This window comes from Homo sapiens, chromosome 9 (assembly GCF_000001405.40).
Source record: "Homo sapiens chromosome 9, GRCh38.p14 Primary Assembly".
NCBI classification, from domain to species: Eukaryota; Metazoa; Chordata; class Mammalia; order Primates; family Hominidae; genus Homo; species Homo sapiens.
Window position 1 is genome coordinate 76,046,142 of NC_000009.12, and position 19,409 is coordinate 76,065,550.

Here is a 19,409-nt window from a genome sequence, read left to right on the forward strand (position 1 = left end):
CACATAATTTTTTCTTTTGTTTTTTTTTTTTTTTTTTTTTTTTTTTTTTTTTTTGAGACGGAGTCTCGCCCTCTCGCCCAGGCTGGAATGCAGTGGTGCAATCCCGGCTCACTGCAATCTCTGCCTCCCGGGTTCAAGCGATTCTCCTGCCCCAGCCTCCCAAGTAGCTGGGATTACAGGCGCGCGCCGCTATGCCCAGCTAATTTTTGTATTTTTAGTGGAGACGGGGTTTCACTATGTTGGTCAGGTTTGTCTCGAACTCTTGACCTCATGATCCGCCCGCCTCGGCCTCCCAAAGTGCTGGGATTACAGGCGTGAGCCACCGCGCCCAGCCAATTTTTTCTTTTATATTTTATGGTGTTTAGATACTAGAGTGAGAAGGAATACAACTCTAGTTCTTTTTTTTTCTTTCTTTTTCTTTTTTTTTTTTTTTTTTTGAGACGGAGTGTGGCTCTGTTGCCCAGGCTGGAGTGCAGTGGCATGATCTCGGCTCACTGCAAGCTCTGCCTCCTGGGTTCACGGCATTCTCCTGTCTCAGCCTCCTGAGTAGCTGGGACTACAGGCACCCGCCACTACTCCCGGCCAATTTTTTGTATTTTTAGTAGAGACGGGGTGTCAACGTGTTAGCCAGGATGGTCTCCATCTCCTGACTTCATGATCCGCCCGCCTCGGCCTCCCAAAGTGCTGGGATTACAGGCATGAGCCACCGCGCCCGGCCAACTGTAGTTCTTAAGTATTGCCCAGTACAGTCTGTGAACACACTTCTTCTCTTGGGGATAAAAAGGAGTTTCTGTATGTCCCAATGTCTGACATTAATGAAGAAAAGAAAAGCAGACATAATGGCTTCCAGCCATGGACTGCCCCTGTGTCTCTAAGTGTGATATCACACCTAGCCAAAACAGGTAATATGTCAACCAAAGAAATGAGATCCTTATTTGCATGGATACTTCAAGGAAATCTTTTTTTTTTTTTTGAGACGGAGTCTTGCTCTGTCGCCCATGCTGGAGTGCAATGGTGAGATCTCGGCTCACTGCAAGCTCCGCCTCCTGGGTTCACGCCATTCTCCTGCCTCAGCCTCCCGAGTAGCTGGGACTACAGGCGCCCGCCACCATGCCCAGCTAACTTTTTGTATTTTTAGTAGAGATGGGGTTTCACCGTGTTAGCCGGGATAGTCTCGATCTGCTGACGTTGTGATCCGCGCGCCTCGGCCTCCCAAAGTGCAAGGGAAATCTTACTGATGCTGAGCATGCAGTTCAGGGCCTGACATTTTCTATTATCATATTGTATTCATGGGAGACTATCACTTTGATAACTATTTTGGTGTAAACAGCTTGTGATTTCTAGTGACTTGAGAAAGAGTCATTTAGGATATGGAAAGGGACTTGCACAGAATATACATTAGAGGTCAAGGTAGCAAACCAATTTTGCATTTGGCAGTGACTCAATTGCTGTCACCATTTCTGCCCTCTCAAGAGAGGGGAGCAATTTCCTTATTCTCTTATTTAATCTACAACTTGCCCAATTTGGAGAGGCAGTGTAGGAGGGACTCATTAATGGGATAAATGGGCGTTGTGAGGAGAAAACATTAAAAATGAATCTATTTAAATTGAGGCCAGAGTCTTGTTATAAACATCGCAAATGGTGCTTTGTTTGTAATAATAAAAGTAAATGTATGAAAATTCATGAGTTTATTACCTAATAGAGCATGCAGCTATAGTCATTCTTGTATCAAACAAAAATGAATCATGTTTAAAGTTGTAGGTTTTCTGTAATATTATAAAATTTGAATTTTAGTAGGGTCATAAACAGACTCAGTTTATAAAAATCTTTATCGGTTTTTCCAAGGGCATTTGGAATCATTTTATTGACAAATCATTCTCATTTAAAGCCGCTGTCACGTTGCCGTCCTTGTTGATTTTCTTTCTTCCATTTTTACTGATCTCACACTTCTGAATCCTCTTTCAACATGGCTTTGAGTGTGATGGAAGCTGTTCTTAAATATTATTTTCATTGTATAAAACCCTGTGTCTTTTTGAAAGTTCATTAGGAAATCAGTTTGCTTGATTTGACTTTTATTGTTTGTTTGCATTTTATGTCCACACAGATATAAAGTCATGGCACTGAAAAGGAGAGGGGTGCTCGAATTGGCACAGGTTTCATTAGTAATAATATCATTCTTGCATGGATTTGTTTGGCTTTCTCACTTAGGAAACCTAATAATTATGGTATCCTGTTAGAAGGAGCCTGTGAACCCTGATCCAGATAGCTTAAAAATGCAACTTCTGAGCAGTTGTCTCAGGAAAGATCTCAAATCATCATTAGTTTGTTCTGGCACTAAGTACGTGTGTACCTGAGGATGTATGCATGTTCTTGTTTAAATATATTTTGCATTTTCCTGTTAAGCTCTAGGACTTGGTTTCAGAAGTTCTGGGTTTAAGTTCTTTCAAAGTAAGATGGCTGTATTACTTTAGCAAAGTCACTTAACCTGCAAGAATTTCCATTTTCTTACCTATAAGGTGGGGATAAAAATACATGTAGTACACGACTATTAGAGAGATCAAATGAAATTAAATGTGAGAACCTAAGTGAAACTGCCTGACAAGTAAAAGATAAGTGATCCTTACAACTTTAATTGATTTGATGTCTAAGTTGCAAATTATATTAAGTATTCTTTCCAATGGTTATTATTTCAGGAGATATGAATGATGCATTGTATTTATTGAGTTTATTGATTTACATAAAACAGAATTCAGTGTCAATATAAAATCATAGCGAGTGGAGGTAGAAAAGGTAGAAGCATGTGTTTTTTGGTTCCCAAGATGACATAAATGGCTACGATCATATTTATCATATTTATCCTTTATGCCTAGAAATTAGAGATAGGCAGACCACAGACTGGAGGTCAAATCTACCCAGTGACCCTCTACCTGAGAGCAGTTTTTATGTTTTCAAAGGGTTAAAAAAAAAAATAAAGAAGAAAGAAAAAAGGAGACATGTCAGAGACTGCATGTGTCCCCATAAAGCCTAAAATATTTACTACTTGGCCCATTGCAGAAAATATTTGGCGATTCCTGCTCATAAGCTCATGCAAATACCATCATAATAAAAACCCATCCCGTAAGTTATTTCTAAATGAAATATGGTGTATATGCTAAAATGTTGAATAGATCATTAGGGATTATAATAAATTATACGTTTTGAAGGGAAGCATTCTTTAATTTTTGGTTTAGTACTTCCATAATGTTGATAGTCTCCCAATGTGAGTGGAAATGGCCCTGATGAACTCTGCAAAAGGAACCAGGAATAACTGTCAGTAAACAGAAGGGCCCGCAGTTGCGTGGTGTAGCTAATTTGAAATGGTAACAAGGAAACTCAGTGAATAGATGGTGTTAGCACTGCTTATCTCTACTTCAGCACTCCCTGTGCAGAGTGCAGAGTGCAGAATAACCCTGGGACAAAGCTCCACCCACCTTCTCACACCCTGAAGTGTATTGCAGAAGAAGCTTAGTAACCCCAAGGAGCCCTTGGATCAGAATTTCATGGCCATTGTTTACCTGTATTTCAGTCAAACAGATAATTGTCAACCCTTACTCCCTGCAAAGGAAGCCTCCTATTTTCAGAAGTGTGTTCAGTTTGCTTATGATCAGGAAACAGCCCTGAGCAGAGTGAAGTCAGGCATTTATAATATCATCTTTCTCCATCACTCAATCATTAACAGATTTTGGGCAAAACAAGTATTTTTGGCCTATTTAACAAATATTGAATGGTATCTTTATTTGAATATTTTAATAAAAGCAGATCCATTAAATATATTTATTGTTAAATAAATGTAGACTTGTAAATTATTGTCTATGATTCAGGATTTTCTGGCCAACAGAATTTATTGAAACTATGTTGTATCATGTCTTTTTTTCTCACTGTTGAATCCTTAGTGAATAATCACATTCTTAGCAGGTAGTTGGTACTTGATAGATATTTGCTGAATGAATGCTTCAGAAAAATTAATTATGAGTCAGAAGATGGAAGTAGTCTCATTAGGTGTAGTTAAGAAGGTCTTTATAATAATATTCATAAAATTAGATTTTACCTATATACAGGAGTATAGGTAAAGTTGAAACATGGTCTGTTTCCATTCTGCCAAGCTGGTCTGTTGCTTTGCTACTTCAGAAATATTTACATGACATCGATTTCAGTGTACATTTCAAAAATATATATATGGAAAGAAATAGACCACAAAAATCAAAATTATAATTTGATACAGGTCATTATTTCTTTCATTCTCTTTATAGATCTTTTCTAGTCTCTTAGCATATACACTCAGTATACACTTCATATTTCATGCATTACTGAGTTCTAATTATAAAATTTTCTTTTAATTATGATGATGTGAAATTATAGGAAAATCAGTTCAGGTGTAAGGAGGAGGAAGTTGCTTAGATTGCATACTACACATTTTCACAAGCACCAATCCCAAACCAGAACAACTGGAGCAGAAATTCTTATAACACCTTGTACGTAAACCTTGATTAACTTGTACCACAATACTTGGTGATTATTTGCATAAGTCTTGCAATGCCCCTGTCAGTGGTCTTAGGTTCCATTAATCAGTCAAATTCATAGAACTCATTAGGCCACAGGAGGTAATTATTCTATCCTTCTAGGATAGAAACATAATGTGCTAATAGGGTAGTATCTGGTTTATGTCTTCACCAAGAGAGTCCAGCAATCCCAGAACAATTTTCTGCTCCTCCCCTGTCTCACTGCCTCCCAAGTGACACCACAGTTGTAAAGAATGAGCCATATGGTGGAGGGGGATATGACAGTCATTTTACCTTAAAAGCCCCATGCTCATAAGAGCAATATTTTTTGCAACAGCCTATGAATATAACTTCCAAAGCCCTGCAAAGAAGGCCACACTCCATTTCTAGGGGTCTAACCTCAGAAGCCCAATGCTAAGACTTCATCATTTATCTGTAGTCCTGGTCACAGATCTCCCAGTTCATGGTAATTTACCAACCAGGGTTCATTTTTACTGTAAGCAGCATTGCTTAGTGTCTGACATCTCACATTTCTCAGATATCAGGGAGACCAGAGCTAGAAAGTTAAACCAAAGTAATTTTTCCAAACATGAGGAAAAAAAGATTTTGTTAATCCTTTACTCAGAATATTCCCCGCCAAGACTGTGAGCACCACACCACAGCCCTGCGTTATTCAGCTTTGTATGCCCCAGGCCCCAGAAATGCTTAGGACATAGTATGTGAATTATTTAGACTTGAGAAAGGAAGGAGGGAAGAAGAAGATAATTAATATTGTTGACCAAAATATTTCTTAAGTGGTACTTTGGTATTTTCCAGGAAAATGAAAACAGCATTTCTGACAGTTCATTACTTGAAAGTGTTATATTTTTATTTTCTGATATCATAGGTAATACTTATCTCAGTAGAGCAGACAGATGTCCAAAAAAAAAACAACAACAACAGGCATCACATTGACCCCTCCAATTTCAAGGAAGATTTTGATCCTCCAGATTCACATTTGTATGAGAAAACACTGCCTCCCAGCACCTGAGAACAGACCTAAAGTGAATCAGCAAGAATGACTACTTTCTGTATATTCATTGTCAAGGAGTAAAGGAGACAATTTCCCAGTCCTCTATTTGTGGTGGAAAATCAGACAGGCTGCTCCCAACGCTCCAACCACATGGAGTAAAAACTAGTGGATCTAAGTCTCAGAAGACTAAACAGAACCCTCTGATAGAGTTAGAAAGCTTGAAGAGCAGGATTTGAGAGTCCTAATAGACCCAATGCAGAAGGAAAATCATCATGGCATAACTAGGGGCTGCAGACAGACATGGGCAATCTTTTTTCGTAGAAACAAGCTCAAGTCTCACACCAAAAACTAATCATTTAAAGCAGAAAAGGAACCAAAAAGCATGGCAGGTTAAATCTGGAGTACTAACCAGGGAGCCAAGACAAGGGGTCGCATTTCATTGTCATGATTAGTATATTTCATCAACAGGAAGCTCTCATACACTATGGCCTTGTTGTTGTTGATCCCCAAGATACAGATGAGAAGAAATGTTAGTAAGGAGGTGCTTAGTGTCTTGGTCAGAACCATAAACATATATACATACATAAACCCTGTGCATTAGTCTGTTCTCACGCTGCCAATAAAGACACACCCAAGACTGGGTAATTTATAAAGAAAAGGAGGTTTAATGGACTCACAGTTCCACATGGCCGGGAAGACCTCACAATCATGGCAGAGGTGAGGAGGAGCAAAGCCATGTCTTACATGGCAACAGGCAAGAGAGTGTGTGCAGGGAAACTGCTCTTTATAAAACCATCACCTCTCATGAGACTTATTCACTATCATGAGAACAGCATGGGAAAAAATCCACCCCCTGATTCAATTACCTCCCAATGGGTCCCTCCCACGATGCGTGGGGATTATGGCAGCTACAATTCAAGATGAGATTTGGGTGGGGACACAGCCAAACCATATCATTCTGTCCCTGGCCCCTCCCAAGTCTCATGTCCTCACATTTCAAAACCAATTATGCCTTCCCAGCAGTCCTTCAAAGTCTTAACTCATTTCAGCATTAACTCAGAAGTTCACAGTTCAAAGTCTCATCTGACACAAAGCTAGTCCCTTCCACCTATGAGCCTGTAAACTCAAAAGCAAGTTAGTTACTTCCTAGATAGAATGGGGTACAGGCATGGGTAAATACATCCATTTCAAATGGGATAAATTGGCCAAACTGAAGGGGCTGTGGGTCCCATGTAAGTCTCAAATCCAGCAGGACAGTCAAATCTTAAAGCTCCAAAATGACCTCCTTTGACTCCATGTCTCACATCTAGGTCACACTGATGCAAGAGGTGGGCTCCCATGGCATTGGACAGTTCCGCCCCTGTGGCTTTGCAGGGTACAGCGCCCCTCCTGGAGGCTTTCACAGGCTGGCATTGAGTGTCTGCAGCTTTTCCTGGCAAATGGTGCAAGCTGTCAGTGTATCTACCATTCTGGGGTCTGGAGGATGGTGGCCCTCTTCTCACAGCTCTGCTACGCAGTGCCCCAGTAGGGACACTCTTTTGGGGGGGCTCCCACCCCACATTTCCCTTCTGCACTGCCCTGGTAGAGGTTCTCCATGAGGGTTCCCCCGCTGCAGCAAACTTTAGCCTGGACATCCAGGCATTTCCATACATCCTCTGAAATTTAGGCGGAGGTTCCCAAACATCTGGCTTATGGTTACTTATGCAGATTTCTGCCGTGGGCTTGAATTTCTCCCCGAAAATGGGTTCTTCTTTTCTATTGCTTCGTTAGGCTGCAGATTTTCCAAACTTGATGTATCCTCTTCTTCCTCTTGAATGCTTTGTCGCTTAGAAATTTCTTCTGCCAGATACCGTAAATCATCTCTCTCACGTTCAAATTTCCATAGATCTCTAGGGCAGGATGAAAATACCACAGTCTCTTTCTTAAAGCATAATGAGTCACCTTTGCTTCAGTTCCCAGCAAGTTCTTCATCTTTATCTGAGACCACCTCAGGCTGAACTTTATTGTTCATATCACTATGAGCATTTTAGTCAAAGCCATTCAACATGTCTCTACGAAGTTCCAAACTTTCCCACTTTTTCCTGTCTTCTGAGCCCTCCAAGTCTCTAGGAAGTTCCAAACCTCTGCCTGTTATACAGTTCCAAAGTCACTTCCACAGTTTCGGGTATCTTTACAGCAGCACCCCACTACCCAGTACCAATTTACTGTGTTAGTCTGTTCTCATGCTGCTAATAAAGACATACTCGAGATTGGGTAACTTATAAAGAAAAAGAGGTTTGATAGACTCACAGTTCCACATGCCTGGGGAGGCCTCACAATCATGGCAGAAGGTGAGGAGGAGCAAAGGAATGTCTTACATGGCGGCAGGCAGGAGAGCATGTGCAGGGAAACTGCCCTTTATAAAACCATCAGCTCTCATAAGACTTACTATCACAAGAACTGCATGGGAAAAACCCACCCCCATGATTCAATTACCTCCCAACTGGTCCCTCCGAGGATGCATGGGGATTATGGGAGCTACAGTTCAAGATGAGATTTGGGTGGGGACACAGCCAAACCATATCACCCTGCCTTGGGTTTTTACTGTACTTCATCATTCCTTGCAACATTATATTTGAGAAGACAACCAAAGTGAGGTGAAGAACTATATTTTCTGATAAACCAAGCTACTTATTCCTTTAAACATGGACCAGCATAATTTTTTGTGTTGTTTCAGTTAACAATGAATAAGCTATTTTCCTAGACTGGGGCAGATAAAAGGAGAGAAAAGATATCAAAGATCTAGGCAGGGAAGGATAAGGAAGAGGCAAAATAACAGGTAAGAAAACACTTCTAAAGCAGTAGATTGACCACTTGAGTTGATGTTATTTTATTGCCAATACTGTTTGTGCTCTGACTGAAATCTACTTGAATTACAACCAGTCTTACAAATACCTGACGATTCTTCAAACCTACAACTATTTTTAAAAATACTGTTTTTGAGAAAACATTATAAACTCACAGAAATTTGCAAAAATAGTACAGAGTTCTTTACTTAGTTTCCCACGATGGTAACAGTTTATGTAATTCTAGTATAATATCAAAGTCAGGTAACTGACATTGATACATTTTACAGGCCTTACTCAGATTTCACTGGTTTTGACATGCATGTGTGTGTATGTGTGTGTGTCAGACAATACTTTAACTCACCATAAGAAATATTTTCTTGTTTTTAAAAGCTTGCTAGTTATTTACATTTGATATATCTAATGCTAATTATCAATAGTGATCTATTATTACTCAATACTATGAAATATACTTTTCATTTTTTTTCTTGCCTACAGCGTGTTATCTGTCAGATTTTGGAGCAGTTGATGAATGCTTTTAATAATTTCTTAAAATATTGTACATTATTCCCGATGGCCAAAATGAGGATTCAGAATCTCTATTGCTAAGTAGAAAAACCATCATAATTAATTTAAAAGTTCATGCTTAAGATTATTTCAGTATTAGGCTATCAAAGGATCTCTGAACATAATCTTGTATTATTTTATGTATCTATTTATTTGTTATTTTGAACAAGTTTTCCTGACTCTCTTCCCCCATAACAAAAAATTTACTGTTTTTAAGGCCTCGTGGACTTCATGTAATTCCAAGTACTTCAGAAGTTATTATCATCGAGTCACAAAAACTGATCACCACAAATAGACTATATGATTTCTTTTTACTTCTTAAATTTTTAAATTTTTTTTCTCAAATATATTTTGGTAAGCTTTTCATTGACAACAGGGGGATAATGCATTTTCGGCTATTTTCCATTCTTAAGTTTCATTTTTAAGATTATTATTATTTCCTTCTTGTAATTAAGTTGAAAAATACAACTTAATTTTGTGGAGGTTCAGTAAAATATACTATCAAATATGCTGTCATCAATACTAATGAAGGAATATAGTCACTGCTCCTCCACAGAGCATTGATAGTAGGCAAAAAGTAGGGTTGCAGATAAAGGAGCCATGAAATCTTGGCAATTATTCAAAGCCTTAAGAATGTAGGCCTCTCTGAGTCTTAGCAGAATGATAGAAAGTCATTATACAAGGAGCTAGGATACCCTGGTCTAGTTCTCATTTGTAAAATAAGAGAAATAATATATGTTTTGCTTACTTCACAGGGTTGATGTGAGAATCAAATGAGGCAAAAGTACTTTGAGCATTACAGAGTGTGATATAAGCAGAAGGTGGTAATATGATGATGCATAACATGACCAATTAGAAACATCAATTTTGCACAATATGTTGGAGAACATATCCCTATTTCTGGCTCTCCTCTCTCCTTCTAAGAGGGCTTTTGAAATAAATGGTTTTTGCTTAGATTCATACAAAATTTAAAACCTGCAAGAAAGAATAGACACCCTAGGTGTCAGAAGGGAATACCAATGGTGAAAGTAGACAGAATCCGTGAACACCTGAAGATGTTTGTTCCAAGAAAAGAGTGAAATATAAAGTCACCTTTCTCCCACTTGCCATTGCTTGATAACCTATATGTATAATTGTGACTGTCAAGCAATGCAATGTCAAGGGTAAAGGGTGACCCCCTTTGTGTGACCTGATGTCTCTGATTCATTCTGAGCTCTCTCACATCTTGTCTTCCGATCTGGGATGAAACCTCAAATAAGTTAATGTTTCCATCCACATTAACAGATACGGAAGAAAAAAAGTTCTCAAAGCCGTGTGAGGAGAGGGCAAAAGGAGAAGTGAAGGCAACATCTCCCCACTTAGCAAGATACAGTGACCCCATGAAGGCCCTACACTCACTTCACCTAATTTGTATGTGTTCATGATACACAGAAATTAACAGGCACTTTCTCATCTGATTTTCCATCTTCTCAATAAGGTATCCCAGGTAAAACTTTAGACCTTTAATTATAGTGGTTTATTGTTAGTAGTAGATGATAAAACTTAGTAAGAAAGGCAGTAGAACAAGGCAGGCATGATCTTTAAGTCAAGATGCTCTTCAAGAGTTAAAATGGTTTTTTGAGGTAAAAATTATGTAACAAATTGTTTCATGTTTACTAGGGCTTTGACAGTAATGACAGTATCCTTAAGAGAATCAGAAGTGATGCAATAAGAGGCATTTTTTTTAAGTTATTAGTTTGTCTACAGCCAATTTATTTTAGATGACATCCTATTTCTTTTAAGTCATTGGTCTGTAGATCAATTATGATTTATATAATGGGTTGTCTTCTGGAAGTCTAGGAAAATATGCATCTTAGTAATATTGTGGGCATATGCAAGAGAGCTTAACAGATGACTAATATTCCAATGAGTATTTATTACATAAGAATTGACTAGTAAAATTCATGTGTAGGTACATGTATGTTAGAGTGTAATATAATGAATATATTGTTTTTCTGGAGTAAAATCTACTAAAGTTTTCTCCCTATGCTGAAAGTATTCTAGATGCTCATACTCTGTGGTCTCTGAGCAAAAACACATCTGAAACATAGACTTTTCTTTTTGTGACTTTTATATTTAACTGACATCATAAACATACCTCTTGCTGACCACCCTTATAATTCTGTGGGAATAAAAAAAATGAATCTTGTTCATACACTTGAACTTCAAACAGGTCATGATGATGTCTATTGCTCTATAACTTGTTTTAAATCCATGTGAAAACACTGAGTCCAACTAAGATATAAAAATTTAAGATGACTGATATTTTTCTCGGGGTAGTGATCATTGTCATCTGAAGAGAATGGGCTAGGGTGATTTAAATGTAATTGAGCTAACCATTTGGACCATCAATTACAGTATGCTGAAATGTATTATTTAACTGTTACATAATGCATATGTATCAGCAGCAGAGTGAAGGTTCAGCTCAGATAATTTCACTCTCTCCCAAAAATGGTTCATATAATATGGTGTAAAGCAATGTACAGAAATCTTTATAAGAAGCCCTTTATAAGGAAATAGTCACTATATTATTCACTCAGGAACAGTCACTACGTATTAATGATGCATGTAATCTGTGCAGGGCTTTTTTACATTTTTGGACTACAAAACCAAGTTAGCTCTTCCATATTTTAATAATATGGTAGAATAAATATTCAATTACATCTTTCCTGGTATGGTACATCTAAAACTCAGGAAAGTATTCAGGGGCTTTTTTTTTTTTTTTTTTTTTTTTGAGACAGGGTCTCACTGTTGCCCAAGCTGGAGTGCAGTAGCACGAACACAGCTCACTGCATCCATGAACTCCTGGGCTCAAGCAATCCTCCAGCCTCAGCCTTCTGAGTAAGCGGGACTACAGGTGCTTACCACTATGCCCAGCTAATTTATTTTTTATTTATTTATTTTTTTGTAGAGACAGGGTCTTGGCATGTTGCTTAGGCTGGTCTCCAACTTCTGTGCTCAAGTGATCCTCCCACATTGGCCCCAAAAAACTGCAAGGATTACAGATATTGCAACCATGCCCGACCTTAAGGGACTTTTTAGTGCATGGTTGAGTTGGTGGGACACCAAGAGAATTTCTCTGAGAAAGTTCAAATCTATAAGCCTAGGCAGGTACATGCATTTTCGAGAGTGAGCAACCAACCTCATCCAGCCTGGAGGTATTTTTTAATAAGCTCAGGGCCTTGGTTCAGTGGGATGAGTGAGGATTCTGCGTAAACCAGAACCCCTGAGATACCATCTACAGTACTTTAACTATATGGGAAAAACAAAACCTACACATAGTGAGATAGAGGACATATTTGACTTTCTCAACCTGGGTAATAGATGAGACAAGAGGATAAATAAATACACTTGTGTATATGAATTACTAACATCCTCATAGGATTTACACCTGTAATTCCTATTACCCGTACAGCCCAAATTTTAAATGTGGAAGTGGCAAATTTAAATCTTCTTTGGATCAAGGAGCGTCTCCCTCAAGCCTCAAAGAATTCACAGAGATAAAAGCTCAAGCAGTATGACCTCTAAATGGAAAATTCATCAGCTACATGGGGAAAAAAATTGACATGAAAACAGAAGGGCAGCAGACACATCAGTGGAATTAAATTCACAATTTTGGAATTATTAGATACAGGATACTGTATATGTTTAAAGAATATTTTTAAAGTGTTTAAATCAAAAGAGACTATCAGAATTAACCAGGCATATTTGAAAAGGAACTTCACAAAATGAAACTTTTAAGCCAGACATGGTAGCACACACCTGTAGGCCCAGCTACTTGGGAAGCTGAGGTAGGAGGATCACTTGAGCCCAGGAGTTTGAGGCCAGACTGGGCAACTTGGCGAGACCCACACCCACTTCCCCACACAGACGAAAAAAAAGAAAGAAAAGAAATGTATAACAATCTAAGTGAATAATGCAGTGAATATTAAATAGCAGATTAGTCATGATTGAAGGTAGCTAAAGTGAAATATAGAATTGAGCAAGTTACACAGAATGCAGCCCAGAGAGAGAAGGTTATGGGAGTCTGAAGGAGAGAGTAACCATTAAGGTGATATGAGAATGTCTGATGTATGCTTCATTAGGACTTCGATTTTTTTCTTGTAAATTTGTTTATTTGTAGATTCTGGATATTAGACCTTTGTCAGATAGATAGATGGCAAAAATTTTCTCCCATTCTGTAGGTTGCCTGTTCACTCTGATGGTAGTTTCTTTTGCTGTGCAGAAGCTCTTTAGTTTAATTAGATCCCATTTGTCAATTTGGCTTTTGTTGCCATTGCTTTTGGTGTTTTAGACATGAAGTCCTTGCCCATGCCTATGTCCTGAATGGTAATGCCTAGGTTTTCTTCTAAGGTTTTTATGGTTTTAGGTCTAACGTTTAAGTCTTTAATCCATCTTGAATTAATTTTTGTATAATGTTAAGGAAGGGATCCAGTTTCAGCTTTCTACATATGGCTGGCCAGTTTTCCCAGCACCATCTATTAAATAGGGAATCCTTTCCCCATTTCTTGTTTTTGTCAGGTTTGTCAAAGGACTTTGAAAAAAGGAACTAGAGAAAGAAAGGCAGTTTTCAGAGAGTATAGCTGAAAATTCTGAGGAATTAGACTTTATAACAACAGGTTTAAGAATTCCTAGAAAGAAATTTTTTAAATTCTAAAAAATTATAAATGTTTCAAATTTTTTATCCTACAGGATAAAAAAACGTCAAATAGAAAAGCATCCAGAGAAAAATAGATTGCCCAAATACCTGATTTCTTATCAGAAATAATGCAAGCTAGAAGACAGTGGAATGACACTTTTGAAGTGGGCTTACTCTAGAACTCTGTACCCAGTGCAATCATTTTTTAAGAAAAGTAAAAAGTTATTTTCTGAAGACTTTCAAGAGCCAAAAGACTTTCTCAAAGGTCTTTTCACATTTGTAGAATAAATGCCCAGATATTTATGAAATGTTCTTCAGAAAGAAATCAATGATCCAAGAGGGAAGTATGAGCTGCAAAAAGAAACAGAGCAAAGAATGTACACTTGACCCTTGAACAACTCAGGAATTAGGCATGTTGACTCCATTCCATGCAGCTGAAAATCTGCATATATCTTTTAACTTCCCCCAAACTTAACTACTAATAGCTTACTGTTGACTGGAAGCCTTATTAATAAAAATAAAAAACCAATTAATGTATATTTTGTATGTTACATGTATTATATACTATATTCTTACAATTAAGCTAGAGAAAGGAAAATGTTATTAAGAGAATCATAAAGGAAAATTATTTTAGTATTCATTAAGTGGAAATGGATCATCATAAAGGTCTGCATCCTCATCGCCTTCATATTGAATAGGCTGAGGAGGAAGAGGAAGGGTTGGTCTTGCAGTCTCAGGGGTGGGAAGGGTGGAAGAAAATCCATATATAAGTGGACCCAAGAAGTTCTGTGCTGTTCAGGGTTCAACTGTATTTGTAAATCTAGACAAATACTGTTCAAATTACTAACTAATTAATTTCTAGGGTTAAAAAATCCAGGGTATCACTGTAATCATAAGAAGCTTGTACATGGGTATAAGAGATGAGTAATCAGAGTTGAATCAGTCTAAAGTCTGTATTGTTTGGAAAAAGAGGATTGATAACGTTAGACTTTGTATTGTTAGCTATTTGTGATCAAATACCTAAGATTGCCACTAAATAATAGAATACATAACAACCAAGCTGGTATAGGGAAAAAGGTTACAGAAATGAACATGAATATATCAGTAAACACAGTTACTATAAATGGTCTTACTCTCTAGTTAAAGACTCATTGAAAGTCTAGTTTCAAAAAAGACCAAGTTATATTCTATTTATAAGAGATATAACTAATATAAACAGAGTATTTGAAAGTAAAAAATGTGTATACAAATTAAATAGTCACTAAATATCTTTTTTTAACTGCAAGAGCCATTCAGTGTTAGTACATATTTATAAATGGTGTGTTTCATTAGAAAGATTACTAATTCCATTTTAAGTAAAACAAAATTCATAAAACTGCAAAGCATATTAACAAACCAACAGTATAATAAATAAGCCTGATATGATGGACACATAAAGAGTAATTGGAGAATATACATCATTTTCAAACACATGGAACATTTATTAACAATTTTCACAAACTTGGCCATTGGGTAAATCTCACAAAATCCAAAGAATTGGTTCATAGAAATAATATTATTTTATCACAAGTTAATCAGATTATTATTGATACCAAAAGATAACTAATTACCCACATATATTTAAAAATATCAAAACATACTTACAAGTAAGTCGTGGGCCAAATAATAAACCAGAGCTGAATTTCAAAATAGAGGCCCTTGTGGTTCAGTAGCACTGGGCATTAATTAATAATAGATACAATGAACTATAAGAACAGTCTCATTAAAGGAATTACACATTTGAATAAAAATAACTTACGAAGACTAATGAAGGATTATAGTTAATAATTGCTAGATTTGGGGGAAAATTAATAGTTGAGCTTGGAGTTTCCAAAATAAATAATTTTTCTTTTAAAAATTGATCATAGTTTACAATTGATTATAGTTTACAGTAATCTATTTTATATCTCAAATTATCTAAAAGAGAATAATTCAAATGTTTCTGACATAAAGAAAAGACAAATATTTAAGGTAATAGATATCCCAATTACATTGAATTGATCTTTACAAATTATGTGAATGTATTAAATTATCACATGTACACTGAAAATATGTACATCTCTTATGTATCAATCTTTAAAATTTTTGAAAAATGTTTTAAATTGATCATTTTTTGATGATGACAATGATATAATCAAATGCCAGAATGGGAAGATAATTATGAGTACATCAAAATTAAAGATAGTCTGTAATCCCATTGGTTTGGGAGGCTAAGATGTGAAATTCACTTGAGGCCAGAAGTTGGAGATTAACCTGAGTAACATAGTGAGACCCTGTCTCTACAAAAAAATTTAAAAATTAGCCTGCTGTGGTGGTGCACACCTGTAGTCCTGGCTACTCAAGGGGCTGAGGTGATACAATTGCTTGAGCCCAGGAGTTTGAGGTTACAGTGAATTATGATCAAGCCACTGTACTCCAGCCTGGGTGGTAGAGCAAGAGCCCGTCTCCTAAAAAAAAAATGAAATTGTGTATGACAACCCAAAATTGATCTAAATAAGATTGTATGTTCCAAATATCAAATTTGGAAACATCTGAGACAGATATGACAGGGAAGAAATTAAGAAATTTGGGCAAAGGGCCTGAAGAGGTTATTTACAAAGCAAGAAATAGAAATAGCTAATAAATATTTGAAAAATGTTCAACATCAAATATAATGGGCAGGAGGAGGGAAACAACAATGAAATAACAATTTTCATGTCAAATTGTCAAAGATGAAAGAGATTGGAAAACTCATATGCAGGGGTGTGTGTACACAGGGTTTATCCAGATATTTTCTCCATATGTCATTCAGCTTGGCTTATGGCCTTTTTGTTTGCCATGCACAAAATTTAATTGTTTATAGTACTATTTTCTTGTTAAAAATTTTTTATTGATACATAATAATTGTACATATTTATGGGTTATATATGGTATTTCAATATATGCATGCAATGTATGATGATCAAATAAGGGTAACTAGGTTATCCATTGCCTTAAATATTTATCTTCTTTCTGTGGGTAATATTCCAAATCTTCTCTTCTAGCTATTTTGAAATATACAATAAGCTATTATTAACTATTATCATTCTATTATACTATTGAACACTAGACCTTATTCCTAATATCTGACTGTATTTTTGTACCTATTACCCAATGCCTCCTCATCCCCCACACAGTCCTACCCTTCCCAGCCTCTGTTAACCATCATTCTACTCCACATTCATGATCAGCTTTTTCAGCTTTCACATATGGGTGAGGACATGCGATATTTGTCTTTCTGCTCCTGGCTGATGTCACTTAACATAATGACCTCTGGTTCCATCCATGCTGAGAATGTCAGGATTTAATTTTTTTTTCTTTTTTTTTTCTTTTTGAGACAGGGTCTTGCTCTGTCAGCCAGCCTGGAGTGCAGTGGCATGATCATGGTTCACTGCAGCCTTGATCTCCCGGGCTTAAGTGATTCTCCCACCTTAGCCTCCTGAGTATGTAGGACAACAGGTGTGCACCACCACACCTGGCTACTGGCTAATTTCTTTTTTCTTTTTTTTTTTTTTTTTTTTTTTTTTTTTATTGATAATTCTTGGGTGTTTCTCACAGAGGGGGATTTGGCAGGGTCATGGGACAATAGTGGAGGGAAGGTCAGCAGATAAACAAGTGAACAAAGGTCTCTGGTTTTCCTAGGCAGAGGACCCTGCGGCCTTCCGCAGTGTTTGTGTCCCTGATTACTTGAGATTAGGGATTGGTGATGACTCTTAACGAGCATGCTGCCTTCAAGCATCTGTTTAACAAAGCACATCTTGCACCGCCCTTAATCCATTTAACCCTGAGTGGACACAGCACATGTTTCAGAGAGCACAGGGTTGGGGGTAAGGTCACAGATCAACAGGATCCCAAGGCAGAGGAATTTTTCTTAGTGCAGAACAAAATGACAAGTCTCCCATGTCTACTTCTTTCTACACAGACACGGCAACCATCCGATTTCTCAATCTTTTCCCCACCTTTCCCGCCTTTCTATTCCACAAAGCCGCCATTGTCATCCTGGCCCGTTCTCAATGAGCTGTTGGGCACACCTCCCAGACGGGGTGGTGGCCGGGCAGAGGGGCTCCTCACTTCCCAGTAGGGGCAGCTGGGCAGAGGCGCCCCTCACCTCCCAGACGGGGCGCCTGGCCGGGCGGAGGGCTGACCCCCCCACCTCCCTCCCGGACAGGGCGGCTGGCCGGGCGGGGGGCTGACCCCCCCACCTCCCTCCCGGACGGGGCAGCTGGCCGGGCAGAGGGGCTCCTCACTTCCCAGTAGGGGCAGCTGGGCAGAGGCGCCCCTCACCTCCCAGACGGGGCGGCTGGCTGGGCGGAGGGCTGACCCCCCCACCTCCCTCCCGGACGGGGCGGCTGGCCAGGCGGGGGGCTGACCCCCCCACCTCCCTCCCGGACGGGGCGGCTGGCCGGGTGGGGGGCTGACCCCCCCATCTCCCTCCTGGACGGGGTGGCTGGCCGGGCTAAGGGGCTCCTCACTTCCCAGTAGGGGCGGCCGGGCAGAGGCGCCCCTCACCTCCCGGACGGGGCGGCTGGCCGGGCGGGGGGCTGACCCCCCCACCTCCCTCCCGGACGGCACGGCTGGCCAGGCGGGGGGCTGACCCCCCCACCTCCCTCCCGGATGGCACGGCTGGCCGGGCGGGGGGGCTGACCCCCCACCTCCCTCCCGGATGGGGCGGCTGGCCGGGCGGGGGGCTGAACCCCCCCAACCTCCCTCCCGGACGGGGTGGCTGCCGGGCGGAGACGCTCCTCACTTCCCAGATGGGGTGGCTGCCGGGCGGAGAGGCTCCTCACTTCTCAGACGGGGCAGCTGCCAGGCGGAGGGGCTCCTCACTTCTCAGACGGGGTGGTTGCCAGGCAGAGGGTCTCCTCACTTCTCAGACGGGGCGGCCGGGCAGAGACGCTCCTCACCTCCCAGACGGGGTCTCGGCCGGGCAGAGGCGCTCCTCACATCCCAGATGGGGCGGCGGGGCAGAGGCGCTCCCCACATCTCAGACGATGGGCGGCCGGGCAGAGACGCTCCTCACTTCCTAGATGTGATCTCTTTTTTATTTTTGTAGAGACGCAGTCTCCCTATCTTGCCTAGGCTGGCTTTGAACTCCTGGGCTCAAGTAATCCTCCTGACTTGGCCTCCCAAAGTGTTGGGATTACAGGCATGGGCCACTGCATCTGGCCAGGATTTCATTCTGTTTTATGGCTAATATTCCATTGTGTACATATACCACATTTTCTTATTCATTCATCTGTTGATGGACACTTATCTTGGCTATTGTGAATAGTGCTGCAGTAAACATAAGTGTGCAGATATCTTTTCAATAGGCTGACTTCCTTTATTTTGGATATATACCCAGCCATGGGATTGCTGGATGATAAGCTAGATCTATTTTTAGGTTTTACGGGACCCGCCATACTGTTTTCTGTAGTGGCTATACTAATTTACATTCCCACCAGCAGTGTTCTCTTTTCACTGCACTCTCTGATCCGATCATTTCTTCGATCTGTTTTTTATAGCATTTGTTATTTTCTGTCTTTTTGATAATAGTCACCTTAACCAGGGTAAGATATCTCGTGGTGGCTGATTTGCATTTCCCAGATGATTAGTGATGTTGAGCATTTTTTTCACATACCCGTAGTCCAATTATATGTCTTCTTTTGTGAAATGTGTATTCAAATCATTTGTCCATTTTAAAATTGGATTACTTGGCTTTTTGCTATTGAGTTACTTATACATTCAGTTTA

The 19,409-nt window shown here is 39.4% G+C and overlaps 1 protein-coding gene across 8 annotated transcripts in view, besides 1 other annotated feature; it reads left to right on the forward strand.

Moving 5' to 3' along the window:
* Nucleotides 1-19,409, forward strand: part of PCSK5 (proprotein convertase subtilisin/kexin type 5) — a 473,167-nt gene that overhangs the window by 156,333 nt on the left and 297,425 nt on the right. The window lies entirely within an intron of this gene.
* Nucleotides 997-1,168: a silencer, noted in NCBI's record as "fragment chr9:78662054-78662225 (GRCh37/hg19 assembly coordinates)". NCBI's record gives its function as "represses an EF-1alpha promoter that drives an FKBP-Casp9 reporter gene in an ReSE screen in phorbol 12-myristate 13-acetate-treated (for megakaryocytic differentiation) K562 erythroleukemia cells {active_cell/tissue: K562(+PMA)}" and the evidence as "EXISTENCE:reporter gene assay evidence [ECO:0000049][PMID:32094911]".